Source organism: Homo sapiens, chromosome 10 (assembly GCF_000001405.40).
Source record: "Homo sapiens chromosome 10, GRCh38.p14 Primary Assembly".
In the NCBI taxonomy this organism is placed as follows: Eukaryota; Metazoa; Chordata; class Mammalia; order Primates; family Hominidae; genus Homo; species Homo sapiens.
This window is the reverse complement of record NC_000010.11, coordinates 93,230,998-93,249,374: the sequence shown is the minus strand read 5'-3', so window position 1 is coordinate 93,249,374 and position 18,377 is coordinate 93,230,998. Positions and strand designations below refer to the sequence as shown.

General features: G+C 43.9%; 2 annotated features.

Moving 5' to 3' along the window:
* Positions 9,679–10,241: an enhancer, noted in NCBI's record as "H3K27ac-H3K4me1 hESC enhancer chr10:94998891-94999453 (GRCh37/hg19 assembly coordinates)". NCBI's record gives its function as "activates a minimal SCP1, AML or CMV promoter by ChIP-STARR-seq in primed H9 embryonic stem cells {active_cell/tissue: H9 hESC(primed)}" and the evidence as "EXISTENCE:reporter gene assay evidence [ECO:0000049][PMID:30033119]".
* Positions 10,242–10,805: an enhancer, noted in NCBI's record as "NANOG-H3K27ac-H3K4me1 hESC enhancer chr10:94998327-94998890 (GRCh37/hg19 assembly coordinates)". NCBI's record gives its function as "activates a minimal SCP1, AML or CMV promoter by ChIP-STARR-seq in primed H9 embryonic stem cells {active_cell/tissue: H9 hESC(primed)}" and the evidence as "EXISTENCE:reporter gene assay evidence [ECO:0000049][PMID:30033119]".

The window sequence follows — 18,377 nt, the reverse complement described above, 5'->3', positions numbered from 1 at the left end:
TGGTCTCGATCTCCTGACCTCGTGATCCGCCAGCCTCGGCCTCACAAAGTGCTGGGATTACAGGCGTGAGCCACCGCGCCTGGCCCCTGGATTAATTTTCTAATCCTCAATTTGCCATCTGGAAAATAAAGATCAAACAGGAATGCCTTTAGCCGTTCCCGCCCCACCTCTCTCCCCGGCAGAACGTCAGCCTTCCTGGTCTAATCAATTAGACCTGGTCTAATTGACCCCTCAGGATCTCCTCTGATGTGTCCCGGGTTCCCTCCCCAGGGTGCCAGACCAGGGCGCACCCTCCGGAGGCGCAGGGCTGGGATGCGCCAAGCAGATCAGGAGCTCCCAGATAGGCGGGGTCAGGAACCGCCTCCCTCTTTAATCTCTGAGAATCACCCCCGCTTCCACAACTTCAGGTCCACCCACCCAGCAGGGTCCCGCAGCTGCAGCTGGGAAGGTAATTAGCAGCCACCATAATTGGGGCTAGACTGCTGAGGTCCTGGGGAGCGACCCTTGCAAAGGTGCTAGCCCATCCGGCCTCTGCTAACCTGGATCCGCCTGCTCAGCCCATGCATGGAACAGGGGAGGTATCTCAGGAGGCCGCCCCAACAGCATTGGCCCATTTTGTCAGTGACTGCCCCAGCATATCTGCGCCTTAGTCATTCTGTGACCTATCCCTCCCTCCCATCACTAAACCATCACTCTAACTCCTTTGTGCATGCATGCATTCTTTGTGCCTTCGCTCTGCACCATTTAGCCATTGTTTTCATCATTTCATCATATCCCATTTTAAAGGAGCTTGCAAAGATCATGACGATTGTATAATATAACCAATATTAGTTGAGGCACTTACACTGTGCTAAGCACCTTATTCTCTCTCTCTCGCTCTCTCTCTCTGTCTCTCTCTTTTGAGACAAGTTCTCACTCTGTTGCACAGGCTGCAGTGCAGTGGCCCAACACGGCTCACCGCAGCCTCTGCCTTTTGGGCCCAAGCAATCCTCCCACCTCAGTTTCCCAAGTAGCTAGAACTATGGGCACGCACCACCACGCTGGGTGAATTTTTTTTTTTTAATAGAGTTTCTGTCTTGTCATCCAGGCTGGAGTGCAGACAGGCATGTGCCACCACACCCGGCTAATTTTTGTATTTTTAGTAGAGGCGGAGTTTCACCACGTTGGCCAGGCTGGTCTCAAACTCCTGACCTCAGGTGATCCACCCTCTTTGGCCTCCCAAAGTGCTGGGATTACAGGCATGAGCCACCCTGCTGGCCTTCATTGTCACTTGTTTCTGATGAACCAAGAATTATTATTATCACTACTATTGTTATCCCAAGAGAAATGAGGGATAGCGAAGGCAACATGCCGGAAGTTTCACAGCTAGTGAGAGGCAGAGCCCCAGGTGATCTGTCTCCAGGCCCAATTCTTCACCTCTCCACTATACTGCTCCCTAAATGGGCATAAAATGCAGCTACAGTAAATGCTTCAAAGTTGAGCAAATCATAAAAGCAACCAGAAACAGCATAAAGCCCTCCCTCAACCCCACACATTCTAGTCCTATGGGTACAATCTTGGACAAGTCACAGCATCTTTCAACCTCAGCTTCCCCACTTGTAACAGAGATGCCCACCTTGCAGGGTTATTGTTAGGATTAAACATGATGAGGATGCAAAGTGTCTGGCACATAGTAGTACTTAATAAATAACAGCTCTCTCTCTCAATTCTAAATTGGAACCTCCTGGCATTGGCAGTACTGGGAAAGAGCTTGCTTTAGGGTGAATGGCACATATTCCTATCTGATTGAACTTGGGTATCATGTGCAGAAAGCTAGAGGCAGAAGGAAGAAGAGCAACAGTCTCTGCTGGCCTTGGTCCAGAGGTGCTTTTCAGACACTGCGAATTGGATGGAAGAGACATTGGGCCCGATGGGAGGCACATTCCTGTCCTCCTGACACCCTATTTTGTATGTCTAGTGATTCATGTTCACATGTACAGAGCAGAGAATGAGAAGGTGAACTGCTAACAGACAGATGTTCTCTTGGCCTAGAGAAGGGAGTACAGGAAAAGGAGGGTGGAGAGGAAGAGTGGGCACTGGGAAACATGAGCAGAGCCAAGTCTCAAACAAAGGCTCATTGAATTTGTTCACCTTTGTGATTTCTTCAAACCACCTCGCTTTTTATATAGGCTGCCATATTGCACTGTGCCCATTGACTTGTCAGCCCTACCAAAGCCAAGTCCGGGCCCTCTCCATCATATTTCATATTCACTCCACTATGCCCAGTTCAGGATCTTACATGCTAAGGACATTTACTGCCCAAGGGTGGATAGTTTGGCCTGTGACCTCTCTTTCTCCTTCCTCCTTTTTCATGACTCTATAAAGAATTATGATTGCCTTCAATAAGTTAAAGCATTCTTCAGCCAAGAACCCCCTTGCACATGGCCTCCCACAGACCATTATGGGGGTCAACCTTCACACACGATGCCATGTGCCATGGAGGAGACTTGAGTGGAGGCTGTAGGGTTGGGTTCTGGAAAGGGAGCATATAAATGTAGGTTGAGTAGGCACATACCTGAAGGCCCTTTGAGTGACAGCCTAGTAATAATCAATCATCAAGCCACATGCCTCTCAAAGTGTGGCCTCAAGCTCCCTGCATTCAAATGACAAGGAGTGTTGGTTAAAATGCTGCTCCCCCAACCCCCACCTCTGCCCCAGACACACTGATGGAATTCTCCATGGGTGGGACCCCATGTTGTCCATTTTAAAGCAGCTCCATCCCAAGACTCTGATGAATTCTAATGTTTGAGAACCACTGTCTTAGACCTTAGCAGATTCACTCTAGAATCACCTTCCACTGGCACCCTGGCAAACTGAATGTCCACATTTCCAAAATGGGTCATTTCCTGATGAAGATGCCCAAACCTCCCACACTGCAATGGAACCCCCCGCCATGTTCCTGTCATCACCTCCACTTAACCATTGAATTTCCCTGCTATCTTCTCATACCTAACCTGATTATCATGTAAACCTCAAACCAAACTTAGTATTTTAGGAATAAGACCTAGAAATGAAAATTTCCAAGGAGGGGGGAAAAAGAAAAACCACTCTGTAATCATAGTTTCCTACAAGAGGGAATATAAAAGTGGATCTAAAAGGGTCCTTTCATCTCAACTCTCTATAAATGTTTAAAATAGGGTTGGTGATAATTAATGTTTCTATAAGTATATGCTTAAGAAGTCATCACAATCAGCCTTTGTCGGTTCAGAGTTGGCAGCCTGGGCGCACTGCATTTCGAAGGGAATGTTTGAGGGTCATTTCACGTTGCCTCACTCCTGGCAATTCGAGAGCTGCTATAATTCTGCCAAAGAACATAGAGGGTTTCCCAGTCAAGTTCCATCCTGATTTTGATTATTGTTTATCTCCAGTCCCTGTCTGAATAGTCGTAGTAAAATAGAGGAAGTTTTACTCCTGAATCCGAGGTCAGCTTGTAATGAACCATGGTTTCAATTGCATGAACAGCTGCTTCTTTTATAAGCAAGGAGGGTTCACTTACAGTTCAGGGTAACACAGAAATAATTTAAAGAACAAGGACGCTTCTATTCATTTCTTTATTTTTTTATATATTTTTGAAACATTTTGACATTTGAGTGGCTGTAGAATGTGGATTATTGACTAGACTCAACAGGAAAAAAAGAGCCAATAAAGTTTAAAAAAAAAAGAAATACAATATTTTTTGACCCACTTCCTACCCCAATCATTATAGAAAAGTTTAATTTGTATAAGAAGACTTCAAATAATTGGTCACATTTTTTTTAAAAAGCTTTGCTGGACGTTTAAAAATTTTTATAGCAAATACCTTCAAAAAGTTCCAAAAAATAGTGAAAAAATAAAAAACACTACAGTGTGAATAGAAAACTGGCTCTTAGTTTAAAAATAAGTTAAAAGAGTATCTCTCCCCATTACTACCAGTGGGATAGAAAATGAAATATTTTAGGTTTGCATTTTTATGTTGCAAGTATGCCTGGCACTTAGCCAATAATAGTATGGAACATATTATTGCATCCTGGATCTGAAGGGACCTTGCAGATCACACAGCCCAGCCTCCCACCGGCAGGAGGAATTACTGCTGCCCCATACTTGAGACCTGGTCACAGAGCCTTGTGACTAAATAGTCACAAGATGTCAGGAACAGCATCTTCCAGTGTGGTCCAGTTCTGCTCATCATTATCTCTTCAAGTTGGCATTATCTCTCAAAATTAAAAATATATGTACCTTTGAACCCAGCAATTCCATTTCTAGAAATTCATCCAACTGATAGACTTGCTCAAGAGCAAAATGGCATTAAGTAGAAAGTTATGCATTGCAGCCCCACTCGGAAATAACCTAAATAGAAGACCAGTGAAAGAAATTATGGTACATCCCTGCACTGGGATATTCTAATAAGAAGAGCCCACATAGAATGAATGCTGCTATGTGCCAGGCCCTGTTCTAAGTGTTTTGGAAGTATACATTTATTTAATCTTCATGGTCACTATTATACTATTGTGTAATAAGGAAACTGAGGGAAGGAGAGATTTAGCAGCTTGCTCAAAAGTTTATAGCTAGTACATGATGGATCTGGGATTTCATTTGTTTGTTCAGTCATTCCATAAATACCTATTGTGTGCTTACTGCAATATGCCCTACAGGGCAAAGGAACAGAGTTTTTGCTGTCACAGAGCTCGCTTTCTAATGCGGGAGATGAAAACAAACAACTAAGCTGGGCATGGTGGCTTGTGCCTGTGGTCCCCACTACTCAGGAGGCTGAGGCAGGAGGATTGCTTGGGCTCAGGAAGTGGAGGCTGCAGTGAGCCATGATTGCACCACTGCACTCCAGCCTGGGTAGGAGAGTGAGAGGAGGAGGAGGAGGAGAAGTAGAAGAAGGAGAAGGAGAGGAAGAAGAAGAAGAAGGAGAAGGAGAAGAAGAAGAAGAAAAAGGAGGAGGAGGAAAAGAAGAAGGAGGAGAAGGAAGAGGAGGAGGAGGAGGAGACACAACTAAACAAGCACACATATCATGCCAAGTTATGCTAAGAAGAAATAGAAGGGAAGCAGGTAGAGGGTGATGTAAGAGAGCCATTTGAGATGAGGTGGACTTTTTGTTTCAGGTCTGAATAAAGCAAAGGAACATGCTGTGAGCCAACCAAGGACAGCCTGACTCCAGAAGATACATTCTTCCGAAATAAGACATAAAGCCTTTTGTCCAGTAACACGATCAAGGCTACTCTGCATACAGGTTTGGAAAGTTCTCCAAACATATCGGGTTTGTGAAACAATGTGTGGAACAGCGTGCAGAGAGCACAGTCACTTCTGCATGTGCACACACATCCTGCTTATAAACACGTAGACTCTCTGTAAGGACACACAAGAACCAGCAAGCAGTGGCTGTCTTCAAGGTGGGAAACTGGGAGGCTGGGTAAAGGGAGTGAGGCTGAGTTTTACTATATGTCTTTTTGTACTTTCTTCTTCTTTTTTTTTTTTTGAGACAGAGTCTTGCTCTGTGGCCTAGGCTGGAGTGCAGTGGCACAATCTCGGCTCCCTGCAGCCTCCGCCTCGTGGGTTCAAGCAACTCTCCTGCCTCAGCCTCCCAAGTAGCTGGGATTACAGGCGTGTGCACCACACCCGGCTAATTTTTGTATTTTCAGTAACAACGGGGTTTCACCATGTTGGCCAGACTGGTCTTGAACCTCTGACCTCAAGTGATCCACCCGCCATGGCCTCCCAAAGTGTTGGGATTACAGGCATGAGCCACCTCTCCTAGCCAGTCTTTTTGTACATTTTGTATTAAGATTTTATTATGAATTATTTGATAATGACAAAAGGATATTTGCAACATATATGCAAATTATGTAGTCTAATTTTTAAAAATCAAGAATGCCAATGCACCTCTACCCCCGACACACACAGACAGAACCTCACAGCTATTACTAGATCATTTTCAGCTCTATAGAGGCTACTTCTGGGCAAATGTCCGCCAACAGGAGAATGGATAAACTGTAATATTTTCATATGATGAAATTGTGCACAGTAATAAAAATGAAAAACTATAGATATATGCCACAACATGGACAAATCGTTGAAACTTAAAGTGGAATGAAAAAAAGTAAGTTGTAGAAGACTGTATATAGCATAATATAGTTTTTATTAACTCAAAATCAAGTCAGATGAAATAATATATTGTTTAAGAATATATCTGTATAATTATTTTTAAAAGATAATTTAAAAATTTTCTTTCTCAAACCCATCCTTTCGTGTCCCCTCTCCCTACTGCACTTCCTCCTCCGTAAATACCCCCTTCCTGAATTGTATGTCTATTATTCTGTCGCTACTTTTTATAACAACTATATTGAGATATAATTCACATATTATACAATGTACCCATTTAAAGTGTACAATTTAATGGTTTTTAGTGTATTTGTAGTTGTGCAACTGTCATCACAATTTTTGAATATTTTCATTACCCCTCCGAAACACTCTGTCCTCCAAGTCTGTCCCTTATCCACCCAGGCAACTGGCAACCTACTTTCTGTCTCTATGGAATTATTTATTCTGAAATGGCATATACTGTAAGTGGAATCATGTAATATGCAGTCCTTTGTGACTGGCTTCTTTCATTTAGTAAAATACTTTCAAGTTTCCTCCATGTTGTAGCATGTCTCGGCACGTTGTTTCTCTTTATTGCCAAATAACATTCCATTGTATGGATAACCCCATTTTATTTATTCCTTGAAAGACAGTTGTTGTTGTTGTTGTTTCTTTTTTGGAGACGGAGTCTTGCTCTGTCACCCAGGCTGGAGTGCGGTGGCAAGATGTCGGCTCACTGCAACCTCTGCCTCCCAGGTTCAAGCGATTCTTGTGCCTCAGCCTCCAGAGTAGCTGGGATTACAGGTGCACGCCACCACACCCAGCTAATGTTTGCATTTTTAGTAGAGACGGGGTTTCACCATGTTGGCCAGGCTGATCTCGAACTCTTGACCTCAGGTGATCTGCCCACCTCGGCCTCCCAAAGTGCTGGGATTACAGGCATGAGCCACTGTGTTAGGCCGATAGTTGTTTTTTTTTAAGTCTTTTGACTATAACAAATAATGCTGTCTTTTGCTATCTTTTAAAAATAATTATACAGATATATTCTTAAACAATATATTATTTCATCTGACTTGATTTTGAGTTAATAAAAACTATATCATGCTATATACAGTCTTCTACAACTTACTTCTTTTCATTCAACTTTAAGTTTCAACGATTTGTCCATGTTGTGGCATATATCTATAGTTTTTCATTTTTATTACTGTGTACAATTTCATCATATGAAAATATTACAGTTTATCCATTCTCCTGTTGGCGGACATTTGCTCATTTCCAGTTTGGCACACACAGTCTTTCCCGGAACATTCTTGTACACACCTCCTGGTGCGTGTGCACAAGGGTCTCTCTGGCATGTATACCACCAGATGGATGGCTGGGTTACAGAATATAGAAACGGTCACTTTTCCAAGTGACTACACCACCAGCTGTTTGTAAAGATTTCTTGATCCACATCCTCACTTGGTATTAACACCTTTTAGATTGCATACCATATGCTTATAATGCCTCTTCAAAAAATAAGGCAATTTTTTAAAATTCTCTCTTATTCAGAAGTGAGGTCTGCTTTCCTGGAATCCAAAGAACTGAACTTCACTCTATTCTTTGGAGCTATACAGAGCAAATCTAAATCCCACTGTCTAATGCCAAACCTCCAGACATTTGAAGACAATTATCATATTTGCCCAATCTTGTCTTCTTCAATGCACCTAGATAAGTCAAAGTGAGAAGATACAGGAGAAGTTGGAATTGGGTGGACCCCCTTCTTTGATTAGATGTGGAGCAGAATTGCAAAGTGTGTTCCTGGTTCCTCAGGAGGCTGATAGGACCTATGCTGAAAAAGAGGTTCTGTGGACAGTAAACCTAAGAATGCTGAACTAAATGAAGTGAAGGCATCTTCTTGGCTGTAGAACTTCTCAGAGCCTTTAACACAGTAGCTCACATTATGGATTTTTGAGAGAGGTCATCCAATTTAACAGAGTACCTTTTGGTGAAACACAGGCCAAGCTGGTCATAAGAAAAAGTGAATACCTGGTCTTTGATTCCCTTGACCTATTTTCATTCACTTTTACTCTTTTTAATCATCAGTATACTATGTCTTTCTCCTCCCCAGCCCTGCCCTTACCACCAAAAATATTTCTCATTAAAAAATTATCAATAATTTAGAACTTTAGTGTAAATTTTGATTCAAGTCCTGTCCTTCCCAGGGGTTTTTAGCTCTCAACCTTAGAATAGAAGCTTTGAACCCAGATTAAAAGAGAATTCTAGAAAGAAGAGATCACCTCAAAGGAAGTATCAAAGTGCTTTCCTTTTCTCCTGATTTCTGCTCATTGTTGTGGTCAGAAAATGCAGTTCTGAATGGTAAAACCAAGTGAAATACTGCACGGTGATGTGTTTTGTCAATGGTCATGGACAAGTATTCTGACGGTAACAACTATAGTTGGTTTAATTACAGCTAACATTTAAACTTTACAGACTACATCATATTTAACCCTCTTCACAACCCTAAGAAATAGATATAATTTCCGTGTTACAGATGAGGAAAGTGAGGCTCACCCGATTATGCAGCTCTGGAACTTTCTGTCTGACCCCAAAGTCTGCACTGTCAAATCTTTGCTCACCCACCTTCACTGTCAGCATGGGTCTTGCTGATCACCAGCTCTACAAAACCTGCTGCATGTCACCCCACTTGATCAAAGGACAGCAGCCTTCCAAGTGGCCCTCCTGTTTTTCCTGGAATACTAAGTATTCCATCTCATCAGCCTACTTGGGCTTCCAGGATGAAATTCTCAGCTAACCTCTCTCTGACAAGAAGAGTATTTTGAGCTTAAAGTTCAGCCATTTATACTTTTCCAGGATCCACTATCCTCTCTGGATTGATTAAACCAAAATCTCACTATCTATTCTTAGCTCACCCCTTGATCCCATTCTAGGCAGAAATCTGCCAACAATCTACCATAATCTTCGCCTGAAAATTGCCCAAATGGAGGCCATTCCTTTAACTTCCACCAAGGGTCCACCTGGGCCCAAGCTTACCCCGAGCTCAGATATTGGGATTTGATGTGAATTCAAAAGTAGTCAAGGATAACAGGAAGACCGGGCACAGTGGCTCACACCTGTAACCCCAGCACTTTGAGAGGCTGAGGCGGGAGGATCACTTGAGGTCAGGAGTTCGAGACCAGCCTGATCAACATGGTGAAATCCTGTCTCTACTAAAAATATAAAAATTAACCAGGCATGGTGGTGGACACCTGTGATCCCACCTACTCAGGAGGCTGAGACAGAAGGATCACTTGAACCCAGGAGGCAGAGGTTGCAGTAAGCCAAGATTGAGCCACTGCACTCTAGCCTGAGTGACAGATCAAGACTTCATCTCAAAAACAAACAAACAAACAAAGAAAACAAAAAACCCAGAATAACAGGGAACACAAACCAGACAATCCTCTCCTACTCTGTCCCAATTTTGCTTTTCTTTTGTTTACAGATACCAGGAGTTTAAAAAAAGACTGGGGCCAGGTGCGGTGGCTCATGCCTATAATCCCAGCACTTTGGGAGGCTGAGACGGGTGGATCACCTGAGGTCAGGAGTTCAAGACCAGCCTGACCAACATGGTGAAACCCCATCTCTACTAAGAATACCAAAAAATTTTGCCAGGTATGGTGGCGCACGCCTTTAGTCCCAGCTACTCAAGAGGCTGAGGCAGGAGAATCACTAGAATCTGGGAGGTGGAGGTTGCAGTGAGCTTAGAGGGTGCCATTGCACTCCAGCCTGTGCAACAAGAGCGAAACTCCATCTCAAAAAAAAAAAAAAAAAAACTGGGCTCCTGGGTCCAGTTCTGGCTTCATTTGGGAGTACCCTATCTCCTGACTTTTCCCAGGACACAATAGGTACATAGTTAAACACACATGGGATTCAGGATCAACCCCATGTTCTGATCTGATTTTTAAAAGTACCACCACAATACTAAAACAGTCTCAGGGTGCTTGTCTGCAAACACTGCCTTCTGGAGGAATCTGCCTCATTGACACGTGCTGCTGCATAAAAATGACCTCAGGCTGGGCACGGTGGCTAATGCCTGTAATCCCAGCACTTTGGGAGACCGAGGTGAGTGGATCATGAGGCCAGGAGTTCAAGACCAGCCTGGCCAACATGGTGAAACCCCGTCTCTACTAAAAATACAAAAAAATTAGTCAGACATGGTGGCAGGTGCTTGTAATCCCAGTTACTTGGGAGGCTGTGGCAGAGAATTGCTTGAACCTGGGAGGAGGAGCTTGCAGTGAGCCGAGATCGCGCCATTGCACTATAGCCTGGGCAACAGAGCGAGACTCCGTCTCAAAAAAAAAAAAATGACCCCAATTGTCATTTTAATATCATCTGACTCTGGCCACAGCCAGTAGAATAAGGAGTGACATCTGACCCAGTGAGAAGAATCAACTACAAACCAGCCAGCAGCCTACACCTTATATGGCTGGCTCCAGAAAATAAGGCACACTAGTCAGGCTTCTCTCTAGAGAAGAGCCTCCAAAGGGAAATTCCCAAGTGGTGATAGTGGTAGCAACTACCGTTGAAAAGCAAAGCAGAACTGAGGCTTGTGTGGCCATTATGGCGCATAAGCAAGATGAGATTTTGGGAGAGGAGCAATTAAATCACAGAGAAAGCCAGAGGGAGGAAAGAGGGGAAATAGGTGCACTGAGAAAAGCTGAGAAGCCATTAGAGAGAGAAAGAGAGATCCTGTTCCTGTCTGGGGTTTCCCATCTTAGTCCCTTGAGAGCTGGCTGCACTGGGCTCTGGTCCACAGCTTGTGTTGTGTTTTTCCACTGGGTTCTCATGATTAAGGCCCCTTTTCTTGAGCACACTCAACTGGGTCTCTTTTCTTTGTAACCAAAAGGATCTGACCAGAATTCCCCAGACTGTGAAGACAAGCGTTTGCTGCCTCAGGGGAGTTTGGCCCAAGGCAGACACTGCTAATCCTTTTAAATCCTGGAAGCCCCATTAAGAGATGTAAAAATTTCTAGGAAATGTAATACGTGGACTGGCTAACTTCTTTTGTTTGTTTTTATAAAGGGAACACAGACATGCAAATGAATGCAATAGTTTTAGCTAGTGTCTTATAATTCCAAAGTCTTTTTTGTTTTTTTTTTTTTGAGACGGAGTTTCACTCTTGTTGCCCAGGCTAGAGTGCAATGGCATGATCTGGGCTCACTGCAACCTCCGCCTCCAGGGTTCAAGCAATTCTCCCATCTCAGCCTCCTGAGTAGCTGGGGTTGCAGGCGCCCGCCACTACGCCTGCTAATTTTTGGTATTTTTAGTAGAGATGGGGTTTCACCTGCTGGCCAGGCTGGTCTCGAACTCCTGACCTCAGGTGATCTCTCCACCTTGGCCTCCCAAAGTGCTGGGATTACAGGCATGAGCCACCGCGCCCAGCCCCAAAGTCTTTTTTAAGAACAAGAAAACGTATTACATGTTAGGCTGTTTTCACATAACATAATTGTGTCTGATGGTTAACATTTAAAGCTGTATTTATTTAGACTATAACTACAAATTGCCAATTGAATTCATGTCTAATATTTTACTGGCTAGATAGCAATTTCCAGGATTAAAGTGCTTTTTGATTTTTAGTGTGTTTTGTTCACTGCTTTATCCCTAGTACCTAGAACAATATCTAGTACATAAATATTTGATTAAAGTATTTTAAATACCTTTTTTGTTTGTTTTTTGAGATGGAGTTTCATTCTTGTTGCCCAGGCTGGAGTGCAATGGTGCGATCTTGGCTCACCACAACCTCCGCCTCCCAGGTTCAAGTGATTCTCCTGCCTCAACCTCCCAAGTAGCTGGGATTACAGGCATGCGCCACCACACCCAGCTAATTTTGTATTTTTAGTAGAAACAGGAGTTTCTCCATGTTGGTCAGGCTGGTCTTGAACTCCTGACCTCAGGTGATCCTCCCACCTTGGCCTCCCAAAGTGCTGGGATTACAGGCGTGAGCCATGGTGCCTGGCCCTTAAATACCCATTTTTAAGTGCAGTTGCAAGCTAACAATTTTATGGTATTTTTCTGTATGAGGTTGGTTTATTTGTTTGTTTGTTTAATTTGTAGTTCACCTCAATCTGGCAAAATCTGAAAGCAAAAGAAGTCATTCCCATTATCATGAAGTCCTACTTACTGTTGACTTTTAAAGATGAACAGACACTGAAAGCATTCATTTTGGGGAAAAGACCCAAGGAAGAAATAAAGGGGAAAAAATTCCAAAACTTATTAGGTATATTTTTGCCACAAAGAGCTTGTCCTAAATTTCCTGAGTTAGCCTTCTTACTTCACTCATGCTTGATTTTTATTATCTTCACAGATACCTAAAAACAAAGTAATGTTTGAACCAAACAGAGATAAGCTGGAGAGACTAGACTCAGTCATTGGTTTAGACCCATCTCTGACACTTCCCAGACACGTGTCAAAGCTTTCTGGAGCTCACAGCTCCCCACCTCTAAAATGGCAAGAGAAGAAAACTAGACAGTGGCTAGCTAGTTTCTTTTGAGCACTAATCGTCTCTGATTCCAGACTTCTAGCATCCACAGATATATTTGGTGCTTTGGTGTATTTCTAGAACCAGACAGTTTCCTTCCCACATGGCAGAAACAAAGCTCTCAGAAGCCAGGGGAGACAGGGTTTGGGCCGTGCTGAGACCCTGCCAGCCTGGCACAGGCAGGCTCTGTCTGGAAGGCACCCAGACCACATTCCTGATCCAAATACCCAGTGTCTGTGACATTTGAAAGTACCTTTCCAACCTCAAGACTCAAGCTGTGGCTCGATTATTTAATGCACTCAGAAGCAGTTAAGTATTACTTACCTTGCAGCCTTTGAATCTTAGCAGAAGAGGTTTACCATTATATGACTAGATTGAGCAAGGAAAAGTTTCCTCCTGTTTCTTAAGTGTGTCTATATTTTAATTCTCTATTTTTAAGTGGAGATACACCTAGAGTAGGAAAGTTGCTTAAAGGTCACCTGTCCTGTGGTTTCAATACCCATTTCCAAATTAGAGGTACCTGGGCATTTTCCTAAAAATATGGATTCCAGGGCCCACTTCAGATTGACTAGGTCAGAAACTGAGGGTGTTGGACCCAGCAATCTGTGGTTTAACCAGCCCTGCAAGTGATTCTGATGAGCGGCTGGGTTTAGGATACACTGCCATGGACCTCCTTTTAGAATTATGGAAACATTTCTGTGGGAAGCAGCACTCTGTGTAATGAAGATTTGATTTCTAGAAACTCACTTTAGAGGAAGCACTTGGGATAGCATGAGAAATCCACATTCCAGGACACGTCATGAGGCTCGGTCACTCAAGGTCAGTTTCCTCACCCCACCAGGTCCCAAGAGGATGAGAGGAGTCAACCAGAGGCAACTGGTACTCGGACTCTGAACTCTTGGAAGCTCAGATCCTTTATCTGTTCCCAGGAAGTGTGCCTGTCAGAGTCTATTGACACTGACCAAGCTGTGAACCTGGGCTCAAATGGATTGTGTTGAACCATCTCTGTGATGGTTAATATTGAGTGTCAACTTGATTGGATTGAAGGGTGCAAGGTATTAATCTTGGGTGTGTCTGTGAGGGTATTGCCAAAGGACATTAACATTTGAGTCAGTGGGCTGGGGAAAAGAGACCCACCCTTAATCTGGTGGGCACAATCTAATCAGCTGCCAGTGAATATAAAGCAGGCAGAAAATCGTGAAAAGGCAAGACTGGCTTAGACTCCCAGCCTACATCTTTCTCCCATGCTGGATGTTTCCTGCCTTCAAACATCGGACTCCAGAGTTCTTCAGTTCTGAGACTCAGACTGGTTCTCCTTGCTCCTCAAGCTTGCAGACGCCTATTGTGGGACATTGTGATCATGTAAGTTAATATTTAATAAACTCATATATATATATACACATACATACATGTGTGTATACATATACACACATATATATATTAGTTCTGTTCCTTTAGGGAACCCTAATACAGATTTTGGTACCAGGAGTGGTTCTAGAGGAACAGAATTCATAATTTTTTTCTTTTTTTTTTTTTGGAGACAGAGTTTTGCTCTTTCACCCAGGCTGGAGTGAAGTGGTGCAATCTCGGCTCACTGCAACCTCTGCCCCCTGGATTCAAGCGATTCTCCTACTTCAGCTTCCCGAGTAGCTGGGATTATAGGTGCCTGCTGCCATGCCTGGCTAATTTTTGTATTTTTAGTAGAGATGAGGTTTCATCATGTTGACCAGGCTGGTCTCGAACTCCTGACCTCAGGTGATCCACCTGCCTTGGCCTCCCAAAGTGCTAGGATTACAGGTGTGAGCCACTGCACTCAGCCAGGAACAGAATATTAAGGATGGAGTTCTTTTGTTGGTTTTGGGGTTTCTGGAGTTGGCTGCTTAATATGATTAGACCCAAAAATGCTAAGGACTCTACTTCTAATAGTATGGAGAACACTGATAGTCCTTGGCATGAACTGTTTAGAGAGTTATGTAAAATAAATGCATTTGACACTCCTGATTCACTGTTCATGAGATGCAAGGAGTTCCTTAACTCTATATATAATACTTTTGACCATATGTGGAGAACCAAGGAACATAATGAAGCTGGTTGGTTGCTCCTAAGTTCACTGGACAAAGTGATGAGAGAAAATGATGAACTCAGGGATTCTGTCTTCTGGCTTCAGAAGCAGATACTGAGCCTCAAATCTTCTAAGATTGCCCTGAGTGAGAGTCTTATCTCCTGTAGAGAAAGAGCTGAAATTGTGGAGAAACAGACACAAGCTCTTATCATGTGAGTGGCTGACCTGCGATGAAAGGTGCATGCACCTCACCGGTGTCTACTGTTAAAGTGAGGGCATTGATTAGAAAAGAATGAGACCCTGTAACCTGGAATGGGGATGTGTGGGAGGACCCTGATGAAGCTGGGAACACTAAGTTTGTAAGCTCTGATGAAACTTTCTTGCCAGAAGGAAGAGCTTCACCATCCCCAGTAGTGGCAACATCCCCTCCCTGACCCATGCTGCCATCAGCCTTTCCACCTTTGTCTGAGAAGACAAAACTCTGCACTGTCTGAGGCAACAGTGATGGCCTCCATGGAGGCAGTTGCCAGGCAAAATAATGTTGATTCTCCTCAGGAGCCACCCTCAACACCTCTGTTTGCTTCCAGACCTATAACTAGACTAAAGTCCTGGCAGGCACCTAGAGGTGAGGTTGAGAGCATGATCCATGAGGAGGTTCACTACTCTTAAAAAGAACTGCTTGAGTTCTCTAATTTATATAAACAGAAATCTGGAGAACAGTCACGGGAATGGATATTAAGGGTATGGGATAATGGTGGAAGGAACATAGAGTTGGATCAGGCTGAATTTATTGATTTGGACCCACTAAGTAGGGACTCTGCATTTAATGTTGCAGCTTGGGGAATTAAAAAAGGTTCTAATCGTTTATTTGCTTGGTTAGCTGAAATATGGATTAAAAGATGGCCCACTGTGAGCAAGCTGGAAATGCCTGATCTTTCTTGGTTTAATGTAGAGGAAGGGATCTAAAGGCTTAGGGAGAGTGGGATGGTGGAGTGGATTAGTCACTTTAGACCTACTCATCCCAGGTAGGAGGGTCCAGAAGATATACCCTTGACCAATGCCTTGTGAAATAGATTTGTGAGGCAAGTACCTACATGTTTGAAGAGCCCTATAATTTCTCTTCTCTGTATGTCAGATCTAACAGTAGGAACCATAGTCACTCAACTACAAAATTTAAATACGATGGGAATAATTTGATCCCGACGTGGCAGGGGCCAAGTGGCAGCAGTCAACCGTCAAAGGCAAGGTGGGTGTAGCTACCATAATGAACAGCAGAGACAAAGCACCAATCAGAATAGTCTGACTCATGTAGAGCTCTGGCATTGGCTAATTAATCATAGTGTTCCTAGAAATGAAGTTGATAGGAAGCCTACTGCATTCATACTTAATTTATACAAGCAGAAAACTTCTAGCTTGAATGGACAAAAGACTAATTTGAATTACAAAAACGGAGAATCATGGTCCCTCAATCAATTTCCAGACTTGAGCCAGTTTATAGACCCAGAACTCCTTGAATGAAGGGGAGGCTGGATCCCCTTGAGGAAGGGCCTCACTACATTACCGACAATTTGTGCAGTGAACCTTTCTCCCATCTTTCCCCAAAGACACCTCTGGCCTTTTACTGGGGTAACTGTGCATTGGGAAAAGGGAAATGATCAGACATTTCAGAGATTATGGAACACTGCCTCTGAGCTGATGTTGACTCCAGGGGACCCAAAACATCACTGTGATCCTCCAATTAAAGTAGGGACTTATGGAGGTCAGGTAATTAATGGAGTTTTAGCTCAGGTCTGACTTACAGTGGGTCCCCACAGTCATCCTGTAGTAATTTCCCCAATGCCAGAATGCATAATTGGCATAGACACACTTAGCAGCTGGCAGAATCCCTACACTGGCTTCCCTAACTGGTAGGGTGATGGCTATTATGGTGGGAGAGGCCAAGTGGAAGCCATTAGAGCTGTCTCTACCTAAAGAAATAGTAAATCAAAAACAATATCACATCCCTGGGGGGATTGTGGAGATTAGTGCCACCATCAGGGACGTGAAAGATGCAGGGGTGGTGATTCCTACCACATCCCCATTCAACTCTCCCATTTGGCCTGCCTCAAACTGACCGAGCTGTGAACCAGATGGATCTTAGAGAATGACAGTGGATTATCACAAGCTTAATCAAGTGGTGACTCCAATTGCAGCTCCTGTACCAGATGTGGTTTCATTTCTTGAGCAAATTAACACATCTCCTGGTACCTGGTATGCAGCCATTGACTTGGCAAATGCCTTTTTCTCCATTCCCGTCCATAAGGCCCACCAGAAGCAATTTGCCTTCAGCTGGCAAGGCCAGCAATATACCTTTACTTTCCTACCTCAGGGGTATATCAACTCTGGCTTTGTGTCATAATCTTATTTGGAGAGACCTTGATCGCTTTTCACTTCTACAAGATATCACACTGGTCCATTACATTGATGACATTATGCTGATTGGATCCAGTGATCAAGAAGTAGCAAACACACTGGACTTATTGGTGAGACATTTCCATGCCAGAGGATGGGAAATAAATATGACTAAAATTCAGGGAACTTCTACCTCAGTGAAATTTCTAGGGGTCCAGTGGTGTGGGGTCTGTCAAAATATCCCTTCTAAAGTGAAGGATAAGTTGCTGTGTTTGGCCCCTCCTACAACCAAGAAAGAGGCAGAACACCTAGTGGGCCTATTTGGATTTTGGAGGCAACACATTCCTCATCTGGGTGTGTTACTCTGACCCATTTATTGAGTGACCCAAAAGGCTGCCAGTTTGAGTGGGGTCCAGAACAGGAGAAGGCTCTGTAACAAGTCCAGGCTGCTGTGCAAGCTGCTCTGCCACTTGGGCTATATGACCCAGCAGATCCAATGGTGCTTGAGGTGTCAGTGGCAGATAGGGATGCTGTTTGGTGCCTTTGGCAGGCCCCCATAGGTGAATCACAGTGCAGGCCTCTAGGATTTTGGAGCAGGGCCTTGCCATCTTCTGTAGATAACTACTCTCCTTTTGAGAGACAGATCTTGGCTTGTTACTGGACTTTGATGGAAACAACGTTTGACTATGGGTCATCAAGTCACCATGTAACCTGAACTGCCTGTCATGAACTGGGTGCTTTCTGACCCATTTAGCCATCAAGTGGGTCATGCACAGCCTTCCACCATCAAATGGAAGTGGTATATACGTGATGAGGCTTGAGCAGGTCCTGAAGGCACAAGTAAGTTACATGAGGAAGTGGCTCAAATGCCCATGGTCTCCACACCTGCCGCCCTGCCTTCTCCTCCCCAGCCTGCACCAATGGCCTCATGGGGAGTTCCCTGTGATCATTTGACAGAGGAAGAGAAGACTAGGGCCTGGGTCACAGGTGGTTCTGCACAATATACAGGCACCACTCGAACGTAGACAGCTGCAGCACTATAGCCCCTTTCTAGGACATCCCTGAAGGAGACCAGTGAAGGGAAATCTTCCCAGTGGGCAGAACTTCTAGCAGTGCACCTGGCTGCACACTTTGCATGAAAGGAGAAATGGCTAGATGTGCGATTATATACTGATTCATGGGCTGTAGCCAATGGTTTGGCTGGATGGTCAGGGACTTGGAAGAAGCATGATTGGAAAATTGGTCACAAAGAAATTTGGGGAAGAAGTACGTATGTGGATAGACCTCTCTGAGTGATCAAAAACT